The sequence below is a fragment of the Homo sapiens genome, chromosome 14 (genome assembly GCF_000001405.40).
Source record: "Homo sapiens chromosome 14, GRCh38.p14 Primary Assembly".
NCBI lineage: Eukaryota > Metazoa > Chordata > Mammalia > Primates > Hominidae > Homo > Homo sapiens.
In genome coordinates, this window is record NC_000014.9 from 20310886 (window position 1) to 20335051 (window position 24166).

General features: G+C 39.2%; 1 protein-coding gene and 2 non-coding genes across 5 annotated transcripts, besides 1 other annotated feature; all 3 read right to left on the reverse strand.

Annotated features, from left to right (window-relative positions):
• Window positions 1-484: 484 nt before the first annotated feature.
• CCNB1IP1 (cyclin B1 interacting protein 1) lies at window positions 485-22394 on the reverse strand. Of its 3 annotated transcripts, NM_182852.4 has the most exons (8): window positions 22369-22394; window positions 18289-18488; window positions 15831-15908; window positions 14654-14768; window positions 6909-7089; window positions 5342-5675; window positions 2583-2916; window positions 485-867 (listed from the first exon to the last, which is right to left on the reverse strand). In NM_182852.4, exons 6-8 carry the CDS (start codon window positions 5636-5638, stop codon window positions 665-667), a joined length of 834 nt encoding a protein of 277 aa, NP_878272.1. In that variant the 5' UTR covers window positions 5639-5675; window positions 6909-7089; window positions 14654-14768; window positions 15831-15908; window positions 18289-18488; window positions 22369-22394; the 3' UTR covers window positions 485-664. The 3 variants fall into 3 exon arrangements, with proteins under 3 accessions (NP_878272.1, NP_067001.3, NP_878269.1); NM_021178.5 differs by lacking the exon at window positions 6909-7089; NM_182849.3 differs by lacking the exons at window positions 6909-7089; window positions 18289-18488.
• Window positions 12294-12441, reverse strand: SNORA79B (small nucleolar RNA, H/ACA box 79B). Its single transcript, NR_145735.1, has one exon. It is a non-coding gene; the product is annotated as a small nucleolar RNA, H/ACA box 79B (small nucleolar RNA).
• SNORD126 (small nucleolar RNA, C/D box 126) lies at window positions 15556-15654 on the reverse strand. Its single transcript, NR_003693.1, has one exon. It is a non-coding gene; the product is annotated as a small nucleolar RNA, C/D box 126 (small nucleolar RNA).
• Window positions 22164-22473: an enhancer, noted in NCBI's record as "active region_8068". NCBI's record gives its function as "activates an Ori minimal core promoter by ATAC-STARR-seq in GM12878 lymphoblastoid cells {active_cell/tissue: GM12878}" and the evidence as "EXISTENCE:reporter gene assay evidence [ECO:0000049][PMID:35858748]".

Genomic DNA, 24166 nt, shown 5'->3' on the forward strand with positions numbered 1-24166 from the left:
AGAAAGAAGTAGACATGGGAGACTTTTCATTTTGTTCTGTACTAAGATAAATTCTTCTGCCTTGGGATCCTGTTGATCGGTGACCTTACCCCCAACCCTGTGCCCTCTGAAACATGTGCTGTGTCCACTCAGGGTTAAATGGATTAAGGGCGGTGCAAGATGTGCTTTGTTAAACAGATGCTTGAAGGCAGCATGCTCGTTAAGAATCATCACCACTCCCTAATCTCAAGTACCCAGGGACACAAACACTGCGGAAGGCTGCAGGGTCCTCTGCCTAGGAAAACCAGAGACCTTTGTTCACTTGTTTATCTGCCAACCTTCCCTCCACTATTGTCCTATGACCCTGCCAAATCCCCCTCTGCGAGAAACACCCAAGAATGATCAATAAAAAAAATAAAAATTAAAAAAAAAAGTTAAAAAAAAAAAAAAAAAGAAAAAAGATTTGCTAAATGAAATCACTAAAGATGAACATAGAAACAGTCTGTAAAGTTAGCTAAATTATCTTTATTTTTTTTTAGAAACAGGGTCTCACTCTGTTGCCCAGGCTGGAGTGCAGTGGCATGATCTTAGATCACTAAAGCCTCAGACTCCTGGGCTCAAGTGATCCTCCCAGCCTCAACCTCCTAAGTAGCTGGGATCACAGGTGCGTGACACTATGCGTGGCTCAAATTCTTTTTACTTTGAAGGCCCTGCTAGAAACTTGCTGCTGCTCTAATTCACGACTTGGAGAGACAAAACTAAAAAAGCTGTTGCTGGGTTCAGGTGCTGTGGGAGAACCCGCAAAAAATGGTCTGAACTGAAAATCTCCATCTCCATCGCCCCGATTTCGAACAGGTGTATTATCCAAAGGAAACTTGGAGTTGTTACCTAGGGCAGAAAAAAAGGAAAAACATAATTTTATTCATTTGTTATCTATATAATCTACTTCAGAGGAATCATCAAATATATATATATGAATATATATTTTTTCTCCAATATTTGTCTTAGAAAAAAACAGACATATAAAATCTTTTACCCCAGGTTAAGAATTTTTTTAAAAAAACATTGCAATAAACATTCTAGAAAAAATATAACTGAAATATTGGCATATACCATGACCCAATATCAATTAGCATAGGCTTAAGACAAGCAGATAATAGATCTGATTAAATTAACATTTAACTACTTCCACTGAACCCTTCCTTGGCTTTTACAGGTTTTAAAGGACCAAATAACTAAAGGAAAATGCTGACTATATATCCTTCAAGCTAACAGTGGCAGCAGGACATAAAAAGGTTAACTGTGTACAAAAAGAGGAATGGGAAAGAACTGGTGAATATGAAAAAAATAAGACAAATGTGGACAGTGACAAAAAAATAAGTATATCTATAATGCCCATTTACAGTAACTCTGATTGACTAAATTACATTATATAAGTAAAACTGAAAGTTAAGCAGAAATTTAGGTTTTTATTCTTATATCTGATATTCCTCATCTCATCACCTCAAACCTGCCCCCCACCTTTTTTTTTTGTAGAGACAGGGTCTCACTATATTGCCCAGGCTGGTCTCAAACTCCTGGGCTCAAGTGATTCTCCCACCTCAATCTCCCAAAGTGCTGGGCCGCACCTGACCACCTCATACTTTTTATAAGACATCAGCTCCTCCCCTATTAAATCTTTTTCCTCAGCCTATAGTAAATATCCAAAAATGAGTATTAGGAAAGTCCAGCACAAGAGGCTTCACTTTTTTGTATGCCAAAAACAATTTCCATTAATAGCATAGCAAAAATCTATTAGATTTTGTTGCATAAAGAGTAGTATAAAGGAGAGAGCTCAGGAAGATATGAGATTCATTCCGTCTGCAAGGCACCTAACAAGCAGAAAAGAGATGGCATCATACTAGATTGTGATTTAAAGAAAGAACCCTATTTGGATAACCTTTATATCCTCATTAGTTAGGATCATACCTAACAAGCTGGTACATAAAACATATTTGCTAAATATTTGATAAATGGAAAAATGATTAGACAAAAGAACAAAACAACCAAACTGACAACTTAAGAACTGTACAATCAGTATTGGCAGGTGAAAAAAATTGAAACATGGCCTTCTTGGAGGATAGCAAATGGTTAAGAGTATAGGCTCTGAAAACAGGTTAGTGATATTGACCAAATTACTTAACTTTCTGTGCCTCAGCTTTCTCATCTGTATAAAAGAAGGATAATAATACTTACTTCATAAGGTTTTGTAAATTATATGAATTTATATAAAACACAACAGTGCCTAGCACTTAGGAATCAATAAATGACAGCTAATATTATTATTACTACAACTACATAGCTTTTAACTTAATGTAGCAATGTGCAAACTTTCATTTTGCAGAGATTAACTGCTCAAATTAAAGCTTTAATTTAAATGTAAGCAAATACAATAGATAAAAGCAATGATGTACAGGTTGAAACATGGGTGAAGAATTCAGAGCCTACCACAACTCAATGCTTGTCTTATCCTTATCGTCTCGACTGAATGCTTGGAAGTGGGCAGAGCAGTATAAAAAATCATTGATTTAAAGAACAGACACTTGATACATGTCCTTTCTTACCTAATGGGAAGCCAAGAACACCAGACTGTGCAATCATGGATGGTTCAAGGGTGCCTTCATGGTTAGCAATAGTGATGTTTCGTAGCCTAAGGCTATCATAGAGGCCTTGGAGCTTTTGATACTGACGATTGCGCTCCATAAGTTTCTCAGAGATGTCACTGAACTTTTTCTTGTATTCTTCTAGTACTTTCTTCATGGAGGTAACCTCCCCTTTCATAGAGGTCAATTCTACATCCTTGCTTTGTATTTGCTGAGTATATATCTTCTCCATCTGTTTCAGATGGCCCTCAGCCTTGCTGAAATTGTATTCTTGATAGAGACGTTCCTGATGTACCTGGTTCCAAAAGAAAAAAGATTTTTAAGGTATTGGGTACAAAGTTATATATTGTAAAATGTTATACAAACACAAAAGGAAAAGAAAGATGCTTATATAGGGATGTTATTTTATCATTTAGAACCCAGTTTAAGAAGCAATCAGGATACACAATGAGGCACAGAAAACAATAAGTTATGTTACTAAATGCATAGAAAAAAAGTCTGGAAGAATACTCTCAAACCACTAACTTTATACCACCAAAAGAACTGAGTATTTGTCTTAACAAGTGACATGTTTTCCAAAGGTTTTTAAGAAATATAATCCCATTTTTCAAGTAATCCAGAGCATGAAGAATAGACTCTAAGACAACCACAAATTATCGTCTCCTGGTACATACACCCTTGTGTAACTCCCTATCCCCTTGCACGTGGGCAGGACCTGTGACTAGAATACTACAGAAAATGTGACAGGTTGTCACTTCATAAGTATATTACCTAAGACTATAAGGTCTGTCTTACTAGGAGACACACTCCCTTGCTGGCTTTGAGGAAGCAAGCAGTCATGTCAGGAAGGCCCAAGAGACAAGTAACTAAGAACAGCCTCTGGCCAATAGCCAGCAAAAAATTGAGGACCCAATGAATCTAGACAGATCTTATACTTTTCACAAAAATAAACTCAAAATGGTTCACAGACTTAAACATAAAATGCAAAACTATGAAACTCCCAGAAGATAACATAGGGTAAAATCCAGGTGGATCTTGGATTTGGCAGTGACTTTTAAAATACACCAAAGGTATAATCCGTGAAAGAGAAAATTGATAAGCAGGACTTCATTAAACTTAAAAATCTCTGCTCTGTGAAAGACCCTGTAAGAGAATAAAAAGACAAGCCACAGATCAGGAGAGTATATTTGCAAAAGATAGCTCTGATAAAGGATCAAAGAATACTTCAAACTCAACAGTAAGGATAAAAAGAACACTTAAAACTCAACAATAAGAAAACAATTTAAAAATAGACCAAGAACTCGGCCGGGCGCGGTGGCTCATGCCTGTAATCCCAGCACTTTGGGAGGCAGAGGTGGGCGGATCATGAGGTCAGGAGATCGAGACCATCCTGGCTAACACGGTGAAACCCCGCCTCTACTAAAAATACAAAAAATTAGCCGGGCGTGGTGGCGGGCGCCTGTAGTCCCAGCTACTCGGGAGGCTGAGGCAGGAGAATGGCGTGAACCCGGGAGGCAGAGCTTGCAGTGAGCTGAGATCGCGCCACTGCACTCCAGCCTGGACAACAAAGCGAGACTCCGTCTCAAAAAAAAAAAAAAAAAAAGACCAAGAACTTCATATACACCTCACCAAAAAAAAAAAAAAAAAAAAAAAAAAAAGGCAAAAAAGCATATGAAAAGATGCTCCACATCATATGTCATCAGAGACATGCAAATTAAAATGAGACACCACTATACACCTATTAAAATGGCCAAGACCCAGAACATGGACAATACCAACTTCTGGCAAAGATGTGGAGCAACAGGAATTCTCATTCATTGCTGCTGGCAATATAAAATGGTATAGCCACTTTGGAAGACAATTTGGCAGTTGCTTACAAAAATAAACATACTCTCACCACATAAGCCAGCAAAAACACTATTTGGTATTTAACCAAAGGAGTTGAAAAATAGAGGAGCATGTAAGAGAAACAACTTACCCAGAAAAATATAATAAAAAGTTACTTGACAGATGACAAACATCCTTAAGAAGTATAAGTGTATATGTAAGATATAACAATACATTCAAGGACATGCTTAAAGTCATCCACAGGGAGGTCTTTCAAAGGAAATACTAAAAGTAGAAATCATAAAGGGAAAAAGTTAAGGATGCGTATTTGATAAGAATGCTTATCATAGCATTTTAATAACTTGGAAATAAATTATGATACAATATAACCATTAAAATATGATTATAGAATAGTTAACTAAAAAATATTTAACAAGATATTCATACCAAGTGAAGCACAGGCTACTCAGGAGGCTGAGGCGGGAGAATGGCTTGAACCCAGGAGTTAGAGACTAGCCTGGGCAACACAAGAAAACCCCGTCTCAAAAGGAAGAAAAATTCATACCAGATATAATATACTGTCAACTCTTAACAATAAAAGTGTGTGTGTTATCTTACTTTTATACAGAAGAGAGAGAGAGTGTGTGAGTGTGTGTGTGTGTATACCCAAAATATAAACAATGGTTATCTCTGAGTGATGGAATTATGAGTGCTTTAATTTTCTTCCTTTTGATTTTCAACAATAAACAGTATTGCTTTTGAAAACAATTTAATAAAAAGAGTTTCTCATATACTCATAAAAAATTAATAATAATACAATGAAGGAAAGACACTAGAAGTTCCCACAAATGCCATAAATCACATGCTCAAGAGAAACTAGACTAAGCACTAACCTGATATGTCCAGAAGGCCAGCGCTCGGGAGCTAATGTCCAACACGATCTCTGGTCGCAGTCCTGCCAATACCATAGCTTTATATTCCTCTGATGGACTGAGTTCTGTGCGGACAATATCTAGCTTTCCAGAAAGGGTACTGTTGCAGGCAGGACAGATAGCTGGTGAGCGACTAAACTCACCACTGCCATGCTGATCACAGAAGATGTGAGAGCAGGCAGTGACCCATGCATAGCCAGAGAGTTTGATGCGACACTTTCGATAATTACAAAGCAGCATGTCTTCACACAAAGACATAATAGGATAGTGAGGTCTCCAGAAGCTGAAGAGAGGCCTAAGAAGGGGTAAATAAAAAGGCCAAGTAAGTTAAATTGCAATGAAAATAAAAGTAAAAAAGAAATATAACATGCACGTTTTTATCATAAAATACTGCACATTTTATTATATTCCTTGTATTTATTATAATTGATATATTGATTTCAGTTACTCAATAATATTAATTGTGCTCGTTTGTCCGGTTTTCTAAAAACGCTTTAAGGACAAAGGTAAAGACAAAGGTGGTTACAGATCTTGCTAACGTCAAAAATAATATATACGTGGGCCAGGCTCAGTGGCTCAAGCGTACAATCCCAGCACTTTGGGAAGCCAAGGCAGGCGGGGTCCCTTCAGGTCAGGAGTTCCAGACCAGCCTGGCCAACATGGTGAAACCCAGTCTCTATTAAAAATACAAAAATTAGCCAGGCGTGGTGATTCAAGCCTCTAATCCCAGCTACTCGGGAGGCTGAGGCAGGAGAATCACTTGAATCCGGGAGGCAGAGGTTGCAGTGAAGTGAGATCGCATCACTGCACTCCAGCCTGGGGGACAGAGCAAGAATCTCTCTCATAACATGTATATATATAGGCTGGGCGCGGTGGCTCACCCCTGTATAATTCCAGCACCTTAGGAGGCCAAGGCGGGCGGATCACGAGGTCAGGAGTTCGAGACCAGCCTAACATGGTGAAATCCCATCTCTACTAAAAATACAAAAAATTAGCTGGGTGTGGTGGCGGGCGCCTGTAGTCCCAGCTACTCAGGAGGCTGAGGCAGGAGACTCGTTTGAACCCGGGAGGCGGAGCTTGCAGTGAGCCGGGATCGCGCCATTGCACTCCAGCCGGCGACGGACTCCGTCCCAGAAGGAAAAAAAAAAAAGTTGCCTTGGCCCTCCAGGTCGATAGAAAAGAACACTCGCACACCTTTATCCCAATAGCCCCGCTGAGTGAGTTTCCTCAGGTATGTCACCTGGCAGCCACAGTTAAGATTAAGAGGCCTATTTTACATCCGGCAGAGTAGGGGGCAGCGGGAAAGCAGAGGAGCTGGGAAGCTTTAAAGCTGAGCCCTCTCTCACGCAGCAGAGGCGCAGCTAATTCCGAATCTTCCACCAGCTGGGAGTAAGCGCCAATCTAACTTCTGTACAAGCTGCGTGAGGGGCAAGTTTTAGAGAAACAGACCCACAGAAATTACACTCTGGAATTTTCAGCCAGCTTTCCACGCTCAGTAGAGAAAATAATAGTAACAAATGATACTTAATCTGAGGCTGAAAGAAAAAGCGCGGAAAAACTCCGTTGCCTCCACAGCTCCACAAGCGAAGATTCCAGGATTCTCTGCGAGCGAGTGCTTCAGGGAACTACGCCAGAGCGCGCATGCGTGGGGTTGCCCCGAAGCATCCTGGGACCTGCCAGGCTGAGGGAGTTGCGGGCCGCAGCTCCGGCTAAGAATCGGGAGAAATTCCCAGAAACAGAGTGACAGCTGTAATTGGACAGCTGGCACCTCCATGTTGAGGTAGTCCACCATTTTATTTTTTATCCACCTTGGAATAGACATCTTTCCACTCTCACACATCCTCTATACACATTTAAGGAAATTATAATTTTCCTTGAGTCTGCATTACAAACATGCATTACAGCTCTTTAAATTAAGCGATAGTGGGCCGGGCGCGGTGGCTCACGCCTGTAATCCCAACACTTTGGGAGGCTGAGGCGGGCAAATCACCTGAGGTCAGGAGTTCCCGACCAGCGTGGCCAACACGGTGAAACCCTCTCTCTACTAAAATACAAAAATTAGCTGGGCGTGGTGGTGGACGCCTGCAATCCCAGCTACTCGGGAGGCTGAGGCAGGAGAATCACTTGAACCCACGAGGCAAAGGTTGCAGTGAGCCGAGATCGCACCATTGCACTCCAGCCACGGCAACAAGAGCGACCCTCCGTCTTTAAAAAAAAAAAAAAATTATTTAATTAATTGATAGTATTGAGGGTCAGAACTTTGAGGTGACCTACCTGCGTGCTCTCCTGGAACTGCTAGCAGTGTTTAAATGATTGCACTGTGCCAGTTTTACTCTAATGCTGTTGCCTGTCATTTTCTTTGCCCTTCTGTGCTTACCCATAGCAGCTGCTTTAGGTAATTATTTTCTGCTTAATCTATATGGATCTGTTAGAATTCAGATTAAAAATTAACCTGAAGAGGAAAGCTAGACGGGTCCTCAGGATATAAACCTTAATGAAGCTTTTTTTTCTTTTCCAGATAGGGTCTCACTCTGTCGCCCAGGCTGGAGTGCTGTGACGCGATCTCGGCTCACTGCAACCTCCGCTTTCCGGGTTCAAACGATTCTCCTGCCTCAGCCTCCCGAGTGGCTGGGATTACAGGCACATGCCACCACACCCCGCTAATTTTTGTATTTTTAGTAGACAAAGGGTCTCGCCATGTTGGCCAAGCTGGTTTCAAACTATTGACCTCCAGTGATCCACCCACCTCGGCCTCCCAACGTGCCGGGATTACAGGCGTGCGCCACCATGCCCAGCCTTATACCGTCTTTTGTAGCCATCTTTCCAGATGTTGTGAACCTATTATGAATTAGTAACAGATGCAATTAGCCACGCAGTGGACATCAAACCCTGCAAACCCCTGAGTAGTGCCAAACCATAATATCAAATCTTTTTCCTTCAAACAAAAAACTGTCAAAAACTGTGCAACTTCCTACAAGGTTTGTCATCTGTTTCGGAGTAATTAGGCCTTTGTACATTTCCTAAAATATCTTCTGATAACTTTAAAGTGGTAATTTAATTTTGGTATAAACCAGTTCCAAAAAAAGGAGATCTTCATGTGTGAACCATATACTCCCTAACATCTGTTTTTGGCTGTTTGAGCCTTCTGTGTGAATTCTGGTTTTAACTATGCCAAATGTAGAAATATTAATACAAAAAATAGTACAACTCATTTAAAGTTGAAAAATGCAAAATATTCTAATTTGACTAGTACCTAACTTTGTGATCCTAGCCAATTCCCTTTGCACTGCAATATGATCACTTCCTGGAGATGTATCTAAGTTAATAAATACTTAACATTAATTCATTTTAACAACATGTACTGCAAATATGCTACAATTTATCCATTCTTCTAATAGACATTGATTGCGGGTTTTTACAATTAAAAACAATACTGCAATGAACATTCTGTACATGTCTCCTTGAGTCCACGTGCCAAAAATTCCTCTAGAATATAACACCCAGAGCCTGGGTTAGTATATCAGCAACTTCAAATCAACTAAATGTTGCCAAACCACTCTCCAAAGTAAAAGCATAAATTTCACTGCCACCAGCAAAGTATAGAAGAGCCCAATGCTATAAATTCAGCAACATGCACACATGTCAAGTTGTTTTACTTTATTTCATTGTTGTCTATCTGATGACAGCGAAATGGTATCTCAGTGTTGTTTTAATGTACAACTCTTTCATTACTCGTAAGAGTGAGCATTTTTTCATCTGAATGACTACTCAGGGATCCTCATCTGTGATTTGCCTGTTCATGTCCTTTGATGACTTTCTTGATTTATATGGAGTCATTTAACAGTAATATGACATGCAAACATAAGTTTGAATTTTAGTGTACACAAATTTATCAACTTTTCCTTTTTGTACTTATGTCTACTCCAATATCATACTCTTGTTTTCAATAATTCTAAAGTTTTGCTTTTCATATATACAACTTTAATTCATTCTTCCCAACATAAAGAGTCTGAATAACTTACAATAAGAGTTGTGAAGGCCAGGCCAGAGTGACCACGACATTCAAGAAAGCAAACATTCCAACAACTTCAGTATTTGATGGAGTGGTAGTCTAGTCTGTAACATTCCTAGGTTATATTTACCATGCAAGGGATACAATATGCATCAAAATATTAGAAATGTATTTCATTTGCTTTTAGAATGATATTTCATCATATTTATTGGCTATAAAAAAACAAGGCAACCAACCACAAAGACAAAACTACTCAGAATAACAAAATTATATTCCAGCTCTTTGGGAGGCCAAGGCAGGTGGATCACCTGAGGTCAGGAGTTTGAGTCCAGCCTGGCCAACATGATCAAACCCCATCTCTACAAAAAAACACAAAAATTAGCTGGATGTGGTGGCAGGCACCTGTAATCCCAGCTACTTGGGAGGCTGAGGCAGGAGAATAGCCTGAACCCGGGAGGCGGAGGTTGCAGTGAGCCAAGATCACACCACCGCACTCCAGTCTGGGCAACAAAGCCAGACTCCGTCTCAAAAAAAAAAAAAAAAAAATTATAGATATGAAATACTTTCCATGAGAATCAGGCCAGGCGCAATGGCTCACGCCTATAATCCCAGCACTTTGGGGGGTCAAGGTGGGTGGATCACCTGAGGTCGGGAGTTCGAGACCAGCCTGACCAACATGGAGAAACCCCATCTCTACTAAAAATACAAAAATTAGCTGGGTATGGTGGTGCATGCCTGTAATCCCAGCTACTCAGGAGGCTGAGGCAGGAGAATAGCTTGAACCTGGAAGGCGGGTTTGCAGTGAGCCGAGATCACACCATTGCACTCCAGCCTGGGCAGCAAGAGCAAACTCCGTCTCAAAAAAAAAAAAAGAAATACTTTCCATGAGAATCTATATAGAGAAAAGCAGTCTGAAGATATTATAATTAAGGAGAAAAGGCTTTGAGTTTCAAGTAGTAGTTGTGCTATATTTGAACACATAGAAGTAACTTCCTGTTTATTTTGATACCTTGTTTTTATAGCCAAAAGTTGAGATTTGCAACAGAAAAGTCTGACTGCCTGAAGACCTAACATATTTCTTGTAATTTGTAAAATGGTTTAACTCAGTTGTTTACTGTTTTTAGACAAACTACTGAATATTCATGAAATGTATATTATCGATGAAGCAATTTCAAGAATCTTTTTTTTTTTTTGAGACGGAGTCTTGCTCTGTCACCCATGCTGGAGTGCAGTGGCACGATCTCAGCTCACCGCAACCTCCGCCTCCCGGGTTCAAGCAATTCCTTGCCTCAGCCTCCCGCATAGCTGGGACTACAGGCACGCTGCCCCACCCAGCTAATTTTTTTTGTATTTTTAGTAGAGACGGGGTTTCACCATCTTGGCCAGGCTGGTCTTGAACTCCTAGACCTCGTGATCTACCCTGCTCGGCCTTCTGAAGTGCTGGGATCATCGGCGTGATCAAGAATCTTAATTTAAAGAATACGTTTCATATTCTGGCCAACACAAGTTATTACAGTTGCATACCATTTGTGAGATTCTGGTATAAGCACGAGTATTAAATCTCATTACAAAAACAGTGAAGTATACCAGACTTTCAATATTTGGATTTTTATTTTGTACCCCTTGCATGTTAAATATACCATCATGGATGTAAACACAGCATATAGGACAGTATACTTTAGTCAAAACAATTGAGAATATTTCAACATGAAGCAGAAATGAGTTTTTAACCATACCTGAATGGTATGTGCAATTTAACTCAATGATAAATATCAAGTAAGATTGTAAATAAAATATTAACAATAAAAGATTTCCTACTAAATACCAGTAAGGTTTTATGTATCTATTCCTCACATAAATAGATTGGTTTTGGCAGTCATTCTTATAATAGGCACTGATTCCAGGTTTTACAATTAAAAACAATACCACAGTGAATGTTCTATACATGTCTCCTTGAGTACATATGCCAAGAATTCCTTTTGGAAACCGCCCTGGTTTGTCAATCAGGGCTTCCCCCACCTTCCCCACCACCCCACCCTGAACCCTCTATGGCTCCCACACCCAGAGACTAGGTTAGTATATAAGCAAGTATTTTTTTGGTATCTCTTTTGGGCCAAGCCTTAGGGCAAAAGAAGGTATCCTGCTTTCATGGAGTTTACAATCTACCAAAGGATCTAAGAATAACAGAAGAAAATGAAAATATTATTTTATTCTTTCCTTTGCCACCTCTTACATTTTTGCAAATTGATTCCATAAAGCCATTTCTGGTGAAAAAAGTCCATCTTTAACTTGAAGAATTATCTACCTTCATACTGCAAAGAAAAGTTTTATATATATATATATAATTTTTTTTTTTTTTTTGAGACGGAGTATCTCACTCTGTCACCCAGGCTGGAGTGCAGTGGCACAATCGCGGCTTACTACAATCTCCACCTCCCGGGTTCAAGCGATTCTGTTGCCTCAGCTTCCCAAGTAGCTGGGACTGCAGGTGTACACCACCATGCCCAACTAATTTTTATATTTTTAGTAGAGACAGGGTTTCACCATGTTGGCCAGGCTGGTCTCGAACTCCTGACCTCAGGTGATCCGCCCACCTCAGCCTCCTAAAGTGCTGGGATTATAGGTGTGAGCCACCGCACCCAGCCAAAAAGTGTATTTTTAAAACTGCCCTGACGTGTGTGAGCAACCACTCTAAAAAACTGAGTAAACCATTTAAAATTTGAACATGAATGACTTTAGAGTATAATGTTTCAGTAACTCTCAGAATCAACTGGCTTTATTTCACAGCACCAGATGACAGCTATCTAATTACTATATGCTCGTGTTTTGAAACTAGGCTGCTTCTTTTATTTTTTTAATCACAGGTACATTTTCTTAATCTGGAATCACCACCCGTTTAGTAATTGTTTGACTCCGCAAAAATCAGAAGGCACTAACGGACAGCCAGCCCATCCTCATGGTGCCCTGAGTGAAGATAAGCCATTTTTGATATATGATGGATCAAAATCCCACTGCCTAAGGCTTCAAGCAGTGAGAGGAACAGCCATCAAAGTTTAACTCCAACCACATTAATTTAAGAAACGTTTATAAAAAATAAAGACATCCCAACCTGGGCAACATGGCAAAACCCCATCTCTACAAAAAAATACAAAAAATTAGCCAGGCATGGTGGCCTGTGGTCCCAGCTACTTGGGAGCCTGAGGTGAGAGAATCACCCGAGGCTGGGAAGCCAGGGCTGCAGTGAGCCCTGATTATGCCACTGCACTCCAGCCTGGGCAATGGAATGAGTCCCTGTCTCAAAAAAAAAAAAATGAAGACATCAAGAGACTCTTATAAGATAGGAATCATTACATCTAAGTAAGAACTAGAGGCCGGGCGTGGTGGCTCACGCCTATAATCCCAGCACTTTGGGAGGCCGAGGCGGGTGGATCATGAGGTCAGAAGATCGAGACCACGGTGAAACCCCGTCTCTACTAAAAATACAAAAAAAATTAGCCAGGCGTGGTGGCGGGCGCCTGTATTCCCAGCTACTCAGGAGGCTGAGGCAGGAGAATGGCGTGAACCTGGGAGGCGGAGCTTGCAGTGAGCCCAGATCGTGCCACTGCACTCCAGCCTGGGCGACAGAGCGAGACTCCGTCTCAAAAAAAAAAAAAAAAAAAAAAAGTAAGAACTAGAAGAGATCATTAAGGATCAACTGATCCAGCAAGGGAAAATGAGGAACTAGATAACAAGTTAGTACCAAAATCAAGATTAACCAACTAAAGAAAATGTTATTCCAACAATTATATAAAGATACACATTATAGTGCCTATGACTAATTCTAGAACTTAATTAAGTTTTGAGGGGCGGGGTGAAGGTAATGAGGGGTAGTCTAATTAACAGAAAGATATATGAGCAATAAAAACAAAGAATTTCCTCTTTTTTTCTGAGACGAAGTCTAGCTCTGTCACCCAAGCTGGAGTGCAGTGGTGCGATCTCAGCTCACCACAACCTCTGCCTCCCAGATTCAAGCGATTCTCCTGCCTCAGCCTCCCAAGTAGCTGGGATTACAGGTGCACGCCACCACACCCAGCTAATTTTTGTATTTTTGGTAGAAACGAGGTTTCACCATGTTAGCCAGGCTGGTCTTGAACTCCTGACCTTAGGTGATCTGCCCACCTCGCCTCCCAAAGTGCTGGGTTTACAGGCATGAGCCACCACGTCAGGCCAAAACAAAGAATTTTCGTCAATCTATTATGCAGATGTCAAAAATTGCCAGGTAGTACAGAATCTAAGAGAAATATACGCATGGATTCTGATGACAAATAGTTAACATCAAACTGAGCATTTACCGTATGCTTTACCCACACCCTTACTAATTTAATCTTCAAAATAACCACCCTGAGTCAAATACTATTGCCATCCTCTAAAATATAAAACTAAGACATAGATATTAGGAAACTTGCCAATGCTGCATAACTGGTGAAGTGATAGAGCATGCGTTTGAACTCAGTCTGACTCCAGAACCCATATATATACTATACAATGCTACTTCTCAACATCTTTAATTGACTCTTTTTTTTGGAGACGGAATCTCCCTATCACCCAGGCTGGAGTATAGTTGCGCTCTCTCTGCTTACTAAAACTTCCACCTCCTGGGTTCAAGCCTCAGCCTCCTGAGTAGCTGGGACTACAGGCGCACACCACCAGGCCCAGATAATTTTTTGTATTTTTTTAGTAGAGATGGGGTTTTGCCATGTTGGCCAGTCTGGTCTCAAACTCCTGAGCTCAGACAATCCACCCACCTCGGCCTCCCAAAGTGCTAGGATTACAGGTGTGAGCCACCACGCCTGGCCTCAACTGACTTTTAAAAAGTGAAATTTAGCCGGGCGCGGTGGCTCACGCCTGTAATCCCAGCACTTTGGGAGGCCGAGGCGGGCGGATCACGAGGTCAGGAGATCGAGACCATCCCGGCTAAAACGGTGAAACCCCGTCTCTACTAAAAATACAAAAAATTAGCCGGGCGTAGTGGCGGGCAACTGTAGTCCCAGCTACTTGGGAGGCTGAGGCAGGAGAATGGCGTGAACCCGGGAGGCGGAGCTTGCAGTGAGCCGAGATCCCGCCACTGCACTCCAGCCTGGGCGACAGAGCAAGACTCCGTCTCAAAAAAAAAAAAAAAGTGAAATTTATAGCACCTTAGCAGCTGGCCATGAAGTCACAAACCTGAATTTTCAAAGACTCATATATATGGCAAAGCTTCTCAATCTCAACGTAAGCCTTACCATAAAAGAAAAACGCAGTACTCATCTACAGTATATCCAGGATTTACAGCACCAAAGAGGTCCAGACTGGAACAGCGAAACTCAGATCTGGTTTCAGTCTCTTGAAATTTTACTCCTGCAAAAGACAACAAAAGCTAAAAAATTATTTCAAGTCCTGATGTTACTTTGAGTTGTTTGTATTTCCTGTATTTCACCCTTCTTTCTACCTAATTCTCTGCTGAAAATGCAGGCACGGGTAAAGAATATAAGCTTGTCCTAAGTTACCTAAAATAACTTTTAAAATATTACAATACATGAATACAATAAAATTAGAAAATAGGTTTATAATAATAAAAGATTACTTGTAGAACCCAATTCTAGAGAAAATAACCCCCTAGTATTTTAGTATATATGTCCTTTCAGTTTTCTTAAGCAAACATATGCATATAAAAATATTTAAGCAGAAACATATTGCTCTATATAATCTGTTTTTCATGTGTCATGAATACCGTTCTATTTCAATAAACATAAAACTGTATCATAACTTTTAAGTGATTCTATAGTGTTGTACCGTATAGTCTTCACAAAATTGATTTAACCAACTCTGTGTTTCCTTTAATCTACATGTATAGATTGATAAAATAATGATTAGTTTAAAACTGCCAGGCTAAATTGCCTATAGAATTATACCAGTTGCCAGTGCTTTTTCTGTAGTGTTTGAACTTTTAGATTAATGATTCCTGACCCTAGTTCTAACTCACAAAAGTGATTTTTTGGGGATATAGAGATATCACAAAAGATCAAAGCACAACAAAACATTAGTCTCAAATTCATAATTTATTAAGATTTAAGAATTACCTGGGATTACAGACTAAATCCCAGTATGAATTCCAACAAGCAGAATTCAATTGCAGGTGTTTGCCCCTAGCTTTAGTCTGCTCAGAGCATGTGTTTAATCAGGCTGATCAGCTGAAACACGGACTTAACATGCATTTCATCATGGCAAACTGTAAATGACTGAGGAAGGGCAAACCAGCACTGGCTCCTCATCCCTAAACAGGAAAATTCTCCTAAGGTTAGAACTGGGGATTTTTTTTAATTACCAAATTCCATCCACTAATAACACCGAGTCCCAAGTCTTGCTAAGTGATTAGAAATCCAAATGAGGTAAAAACGAAGATTTTGCTCTTACTCTTACCTCTGGCATCACATGAATCCAGCTTCTATCTAGAAATCCAGTTGAACCACAGGATCTATCAATTATCTAGGATCATTTCTGGAAAATTTAAAAAACATAAATAAATTCACAAAGGTTATGATTACATGACAACTCACACCAGCATGTTCTATACCAAGTCACAAGAAAATTTAGAGTAACCGTTCATCCTTTATTTAACTCTCCATTCATTAATATAAATTATTGACTCATCTATTTGGAGAATGTCACCAAATGCCCAAGCTCAATATCAAATAGGGCAGGATCAGGAGTTCAAGGTTACAGTGAGCTGTGATCGTGCCACTGTACTCCAGCCTAGGCAACAGAGTAAGACCCCGTCTCGAACAAAACAAAAAAAATTTAACAACAACAACAAAAAAAAACCGAGCAGGACCCCTACACAAGCTTAATTTTGTATAAATTTACAAGCTTGGATAAAACTGCACAATAGTCTAACCAACTTCTGAAAGGCTATAAAGGTCAACAACCTCACAGTAAGAAAACAGTTATGCAAGAGGAAGGAGTCAAGAACTTTTAAGATTCAGATAACTGAGAAAATAATCCAAAATAGTCAGTTTTTTCAAAGCATGTTTCAATTTCATTTGAGCCAATGCCGGATTGTATTTAACCTTTACTCTTCGTAATCCTTTGTCAAAATAATCTGAAGAAAATCTTCCCTTTATATAGGAAAATTGAATTAGTAACATTTGTAACCCAAGTCTGCCACAAGATGGCAGTGTAAGAAAGAGTCTTGCTTTAATTTCCTCTTCCAGCATTTGCGTGTCATCTGAACTTTCAGGTCAAATACATACTAGATACGCAGTTCATCTTTGCAGGCAACCTTCACACTATTCCCTACTCTTCACCTAATTACTAGCTAGAAAATTTTTTGTATTTACTTGTAATGATCATCTAAAACTTGTTAGCTAAAAATACTGCAGTTATACTTTCATCATTATGTTCTTTTTCATGCAGCAGTGTGGAGATTTAAAAATCCATAACCTCAGATACAATCTAGCCAGAAAGACAAGACTCACAGAAATTAACATACCACCAAATAAGTAGTAGAAAGCAAGTAAGGTTAAGAAAAGAAGTAGGATTGGTCAAGGAAGGCTTCATGAAGCAAAAAGAGTGGGTCACAAGTGGACCTTAAAGTTGCATGTCCAATAAGTAACCACTTAATTAGAGTTAAAAATTAAATTTCTCCCATTACCCTAGTCACATTTTCATTACTCAATAGCTAAATTGGCAGTACAAACATAGAGCATTTCCATCATAACAGAAGGCTCCATTGGACATCAGTGCCTTTAAGAATGGGTCTAAAATAAGCTGACAGAAAAGAAAGCAGTGGCTATCATTCTTTAGAAATCCTATCTGTCAAGCTGTATAGAATTTGTATCATTTAAATTTTACAACCCCCTATTTACAGGAAAATTGAGGCTCAGAAAAATTACATAAATTTCCTAAGGTCACCTAACTAGTAAGAGCTAGGATTTAAATTCAATTCCATCAAAACTCCATACTCTTCAATTCACCATGGTACTTCCTACAGGAAATACACAGAGCTAAAGGTTTGCTTTAAAATGTAATGCAGTGACATGCTAGCTCAGTAGGTTGGAAAGAAACTGAAGCATTTTAAATATCTCAGACAGATATGATCAAAATGTTATTTTACTCCTTCCTTGCCCTATACTTAGCTTTAACTATGTAAAATGTTTTCAGATCAGCAGGATGCAAGGTTAACTAAGAGAATGTAGACAAGAAGCAAGACATGGTGTGAAAGGTTTCTCCAGTTTTAACAATGTCTACCTTAAAACTCCTTGATCTCTCCAAACCTAAAATAAATTTTTTTAAAAAGGAAATTAAAAAAAAAACTACTTGATCTAAGTATTCTTACAGGATAATAATTATAGGTTGAAAGGAACAACTTCTCTATTAATCTCAACTCACAAACAAAACCCAGATTGCAAGAGGCCTGGTCTTTTTGTTTTGACACATAGCACAAAGCCTGGCACATAAATCCTGATGTTAAATATGTGATACCTTTCCCAATGTGTGATGCTTCCCTGCAGGATTCTAGTCATGCATGCTTCAACAAGTGTCATTCCACCATACAAAGGACATTTCGTATTTACTAAGTATTGTGCAAATGCTCCATAAACAATCAATGATCCCAGCATTTTGTTGACTGTGGGCAGTAATCACTTCAAAGTACTAGTGTTCATAGCCAAAAGGTACATTTTATATGTGTGAACAGATGCTTCATGAAGGCCTAATACAAACTACAAATTGATACTAAATCAGCAGATACTCGTGTTAAGATTTCATCACCATTCCTTTTGACTCTATTCCAATTTACTCAGTGCCACCTAGCATTATAGGATACAATGGTAACTCGAATCTCTAAGCTAGGCTTTTTAGATAGGAAAGACACACATACGTGTAATGAAGAGAACTTAAGGCAGCTTATCTTGATCAAAATTCAAGTACCAGGCTTTAGGTACCATCAGCCTTTAACCCTTTCTGTTGAGAATATCCAAATCCAAGCCCATATGATTTTCAGGGGGTCTACAGATGGGCCAGTTCTGGACTGGCACACAGGGTGCTGGACTTCCCTCCTCAGTGGATTTCATCTTCAACCTGAAACAAAATGAACACACAAAATTTTGTTCATAGGAAGTAAATACTAGACTAATAGCTTGGTATAGTTTTCCTTTAGAGATAGTTATATAAGGTACTGCTATCAGAACAGACTCCAAGTTTTATTTCCCACTCACTATCAGTTTCCTTCCTTTTTAAGGCAGAATAGTATTCCACTGTACATATGTATAATATTTGCTTTATCCATTCATCCGTTGATGGACCCTTAGGTCAATTCCGTATCTTGGCTTTTGTGAATAATGATGCAATGAACATGGGAGTATAGGTATCTCTGACATACTAGTTTTATTTCCTTTGAATATACCCAGAAATGGGATTTCTGGATTATATGGTAGTTCTATTTTTAATTTTTTGAGAAATTTCCATACTGTTTTCCATCATAGCTGCACTAATTAATATTCCCTAAAATAATAGATTTTGAAATCATACTAAACTAGATTTTAATCCTGGCTCTCTCATGTATTTGCTGTGCCCATGGGTAAGTTATGCAACTTCTCTAAACTTCAGCTGTCCCCTCTGTAAAATGAGGACAAATACTACATACCTCTTAAAACTTCCGTGAAGACTGAGGTAATAAATACATTTTGCACTGTAGCTGGCATGGAGTTAAATGTTTAATATGTTATTTCTATGTCTTGCCCAAGCTCAACCAGCTAGTGAGTAGAAAGGCAAATATTCTGCCTAAAAATTTCACACTTTTCCACAGCCATAAAAAAAAAAAAAACAAAAAACATGTCCTTTGCAGCAACTGGAGCTGCTGGATGCTGCTGGGGGCCATTATCCTAAACGAATTTATGCAAAAACAGAAAACCAAGTATTGCATGTTCTCACTTATAAGTGGGAGCTAAATCTTGCGTTGGGAGCTAAATCTTGCGTAGGGAGCTAAATACTGGGTTCACAGGAACAAAAAGTTGGGAACAATAGACACTAGGTACTCCAAAAGGAGGAAAAGAGAGAGAGGGGCAAGAGCTGAAAAACTTCCTATTGGGTACAATGTTTACTACCTAGATGGCAGGATCAATAGAAGCCCAAACCTCAGCATCATGCAATATACCCTGAAACAAACCTGCACATGTACCCCGTGAATCTACAATAAAAACAAATTTAACAACAAAAAGTCACACTTCTCACAATAACCCAGAAGCCAGAAAGGTCACTCATATAGTACTCATAAGGGCCCTTCCAACTCCAAGATATTGTGTCCTTTTTTTTTTTCACTCTTGTTGCCCAGACTGGAGTGCAATGGCGCGATCTCGGCTCACCACAACCTCCACCTCCCGGGTTCAAGCGATTCTCCTGCCTCAGCCTCCCGAGTAGCTGGGATTACAGGCATGCACCAACACGCCCGGCTAATTTTGTATTTTTAGTAGAGACGGGGTTTCTCCATGTTGATCAGGTTGGTCTCGAACTCCCGACCTCAGGTGATCCACCCTCCTCGGCCTCCCAAAGTGTTGGGGTTACAGGCGTGAGCCACCGCGCCCGGCCATATTGTCCTTCAAGCAAAAAAGACACAGGTTTGCTTCCCCCTTCCCCTCATTTCCTACTTAACAATGAAGACTCCAATGTATTATGAAGTCTTATTAACAAAAGCATGCTTCCATTGGAAAGAATGTAATGTTTTCCCAACTCACAAAACTTCCACCTAAAAAACCGGAACTAAGCCTCTTAAGACTAAAACAGCTTTGGAGAAATTCCCAAAGGCTTCCTTTTTTATTTTGCATGTTTACATCCTAAAATACATTTCAGCTTTTCCTAACTTAATACTAAAATATGCCCTCAACACCATGAGTTCAGGGGCATATCCAGCACACATTTTCTAAGTAAACACTGAAAGCATGCCCTTTCTGCCCCTGTGAATACAAAGATGACTTGGTTGTTCTGGGCCACTGCTGTCACTCCTTCCCAGCATTAAACACATGCTCATAACAAGATAAACCATCCCCACTCAAACCAAAGTGGGCAAAGATATATTCACATAAAAGCCATCAAGATGATTTTCCTTTCGGTAGAAAATCCTTTATTGCTCAATCAAGTTTAGAGTATTGATTGGTTTCTAATCACCACCGTGTACAAAATAAATATAAATAGGAAGCACTGCAAAATATCTAGAGTCCTTTTAAACAAGAATATACCAAAACCCAATTGAAATGCCTTTATGCCAACTGACTGATTTACAAGGTTATTCATTTGAGGGGGAAATATCAAGATCATAAACTATCTGAATACCTACTGATAAAAGCTAAATAAATTATAGTAGGTACATAAATTAGAATACTGAGTTACCATTATACCCTGAAAACCTACTGAAAAAATATATTTTTTAAAAAAAATAATTTTTAAAGAATACTATGTTACCATTATGAAGAATGTGAACACTCTACTCATGGAACTTAAGTGGAAAAAGTAAGACACATAGTAGAGTAGGTATAGTAAAAGGGAAGGATACCTACACATATTTGCTTATATGCATAAAATATCTTAGTAACACTGTTATGAGGGAGAGGAATTGGATGGCTTAGGGAAGGGGATAAGAAACTTTGATATCTTTTGAATTTTGAACCATGTGAATGTATTACCTATTCAAAAATATATATATATATGATGTGTATACATATATATATATATATATATATTTTTTTTTTTTTTTTTTTTTTTTTGAGACAGAGTTTCGCTCTTGTTGCCCAGGCTGGAGTGCAATGGCGCGATCTCGGCTCACCGCAACCTCCACCTCCCGGGTTCAAGCGATTCTCCTGCCTCAGCCTCCCGAGTAGCTGGGATTACAGGCATGCGCCGCCATGCCCCAAAAAATAAATTTTAACAATGCTTGAGAATTATAAAAATTATGGGAGGCCTACAAATACCTATTACTACATTCGATTAACTGGTTTATTATTTGTCTTTCTCACACTTTCTGCCTATAAGAATATCCAACACAAACATCACATTAAAATTAACATGTACCAAAAGAAAGGAATTCAGTGAAATGACATTGAAGGTCACTAAGCAAACTTTTTATGAGAAAACAGATATCCAAAATACTTGCTGTAAATAAATAAGTACTGCTTACTTCTAAAGGTACCTAACATTTATTACACACCAACTAGAGCCTAGTTTTTATATATTTTATCTGATCTTGGAAAGCTAAGCCTCGGAATGGCTCACTGCTTCTCCCAAGGTCACCAGAGCTGTAAACTGTGGCGCTGGAATTTAAATCTAGAGGCTTGCCCTGAACTAAGGTCCCTAATCTTTTTCCATAGCTTTTAAGGACACAATCACCACAGTGGCAACATTAAAAATTAGGAGCTCCTTTTAAGGCTTATCTGTCTTCAGAGTTTGCTGCCCAGGTTCACCAAGAAAGCCGAAATGATCTGAGCGAAGGCCAGGAGAAAGACAAGGTACGCTGCAGCTTCCACAAACCCAGTAAGGACCTGGGCCCTCTAGACACTCACCGGAGAATTAAACTCTACTGAGCTGAACGCCTTCTCCCGAAATCTGACCTCACCCAGGGAGATATAAATCAAAACAGCATTAGGATGATAATATCTTTCCCGCCAAGCAAAATGAAGCCGGCGTTTTCCAAGAACACACGCACTGTGCACATGAAGCACAGTCTATTGTTCCTGGGTCACCAGGACTCGGAGACGGAAGGCAAACCCAGTACTGCAGAGGCCCACGTGGAAACAAGCCAGGAAGAGCATTTCACTGCCTTCTCCCAACCTCCACACAGCCGAAATTAATCTCCTTGCGACTCACACACACTCCTATGCCGACTTGAAATAAAGGCCTGCCACCTGGGTATATAACTCAAATGGAAGAGAAATTCAAAACAATTAGAGAGCAAAATTAAGCGCACACTCACCAGCCCACCAAAACGGAGAGGGAAAGAAAGTGGAGAGACAGGAAGTCGCCTTGGGAAGTGTCTTCAGAACCTGATTGGCTAATGAGTTCAAGAGGATTCCCTCCTCCTTTACCTTAAAAGGTGCTGAAATGACGTAACCCACTCCACCCCTCTTTATGGACCAGTGATGCTTCTTGCACTATTTTTGGAGTGAACTTCTTAAACCGAGTTTCCTTTTGAGTTAATGTACTTAGGCAAAAACAGGCTAATTTAAGCTATTTATACACGTTGTTGTTTGCGTGGGCCTACTGCATTCTATTCTAAAGAATTTTCATCCCTTAAGGGTAATTTCTTATCCTTTGTGACCTCAACATGCTTAACTTATGCTAGGCAACAGATTCCATTATAAACAGTCTAGATCGATTCAAGTTAAAATTTACCTTCATTTTTTCCCCCCAGATCCAAAGCTGGCCTGATAAAATTTACCTTCAGGTAATCTTTGAACTAACAGGCTTAGTAGATAAAAGGTAGGTGGGTTAAGTGTTTTAGGCTTCAAATAAAATTTAGCTGATTTTGAATCTGAACCTTGCCACTTATTTGCACACATCTAAGCCTCAGTTCCAACTATAAAAAGAGGGAAAAAAGATGAAATCTTCCTACTCTGATGGTTATGAGGATTAAGTAAAATAATTTATATAATGTACTCAGTACAATGCCCGGTACACAGTACTCAACAATGTTAGCTGTTATTATTGTTATTACATATTTCTTGTTAGATTTATATTCCCAAGTAGACTATAAACAACTGGAGATCAAAGTGTACGTTTTACACATCTCCAGACAAAAACAATGACTTTCAATGCTGAGGACATAATTGATTAATCAATTATTTTGACTCCTCACATCGCCCTCCAGTTAAAGTATAGGTTCTTACTCTGTTAAATTTTTTTTTTTTTTGAAACAGGGTCTCACTTCGTGTCCCAGGCTGGAGTGCAGTGGTGAAATCTCGACTCACTGTAGCCTTGACCTCCCAGGTTCAAGCGATCTCCTGCCTCAGTAAGTAGCTGGGACTACAGGCGTGCACCATCACACCCAGCTAATTTTTGTATTTTTTTGTAGAGATGGGGTTTCGCCATGTTGCCCAAGCTGAAAGATTTCTTTTTAAGCCATAATTAGAGGACTCCCCGGCACAATATTCATCATTATTCTTAATAAATACTATTATAGTAATAGGGAATATATATACAAGTATGTGTTATATGTACAAATATACATGTAATGTGCAAATGTTTGAAGTATAAAGATTCAAGTTATATGGAGAAATGATACAACTCTAACTCATAGTAGTTCTCATTTTTTAATCATTTCATCCTATCCACCCTGCTTCCACCTTACTAGAAATTACCTATTCCAATCCACTTTAGAGTTTACCTGCCCCAAATTTCCCAACATTTAGCATCAAATGCTAATTTGTTATTTCATAATTGATTTATTGTAACTTCTAGAGTCAAAACATTTCTTGAATGTTTACTATAAATATTCAAGAAATGTAATATTCATTACCTTGTTTAATCTTCACATTAACCCAAGAATGTAAGCACTTTCATTATAACTATTTCACCAAAAAAAAAAAAAAAAAAAAGGAAACAGAGTTATAGAGATTAAGGAATTTGTCTATTTAGCAAGTGGTAAAGTCAGGATTCAGATCCCAGTTGCTATGGTTTGACTGTCCCCTTCAAAATTCATGTTGTCACTCTAGTTTCTCTTCATATCGCATAAATCTTTCACCTTTTACAAAATTCATGTTGAAACTTAATCC

Excerpts from the sequence above, each read along its gene's own strand:
- CCNB1IP1 (NM_182849.3), bottom strand. The coding sequence starts at position 5,638 with ATGTCTTTGTGTGAAGACATGCTGCTTTGTAATTATCGAAAGTGTCGC. Across the intron at positions 2,917-5,341 it reads TGGCCTTCTGGACATATCAG|GTACATCAGGAACGTCTCTA; the intron begins GTTAGTGCTTAG and ends TTTTGGAACCAG. Across the intron at positions 868-2,582 it reads TGTTCTTGGCTTCCCATTAG|GTAACAACTCCAAGTTTCCT; the intron begins GTAAGAAAGGAC and ends TTTCTGCCCTAG.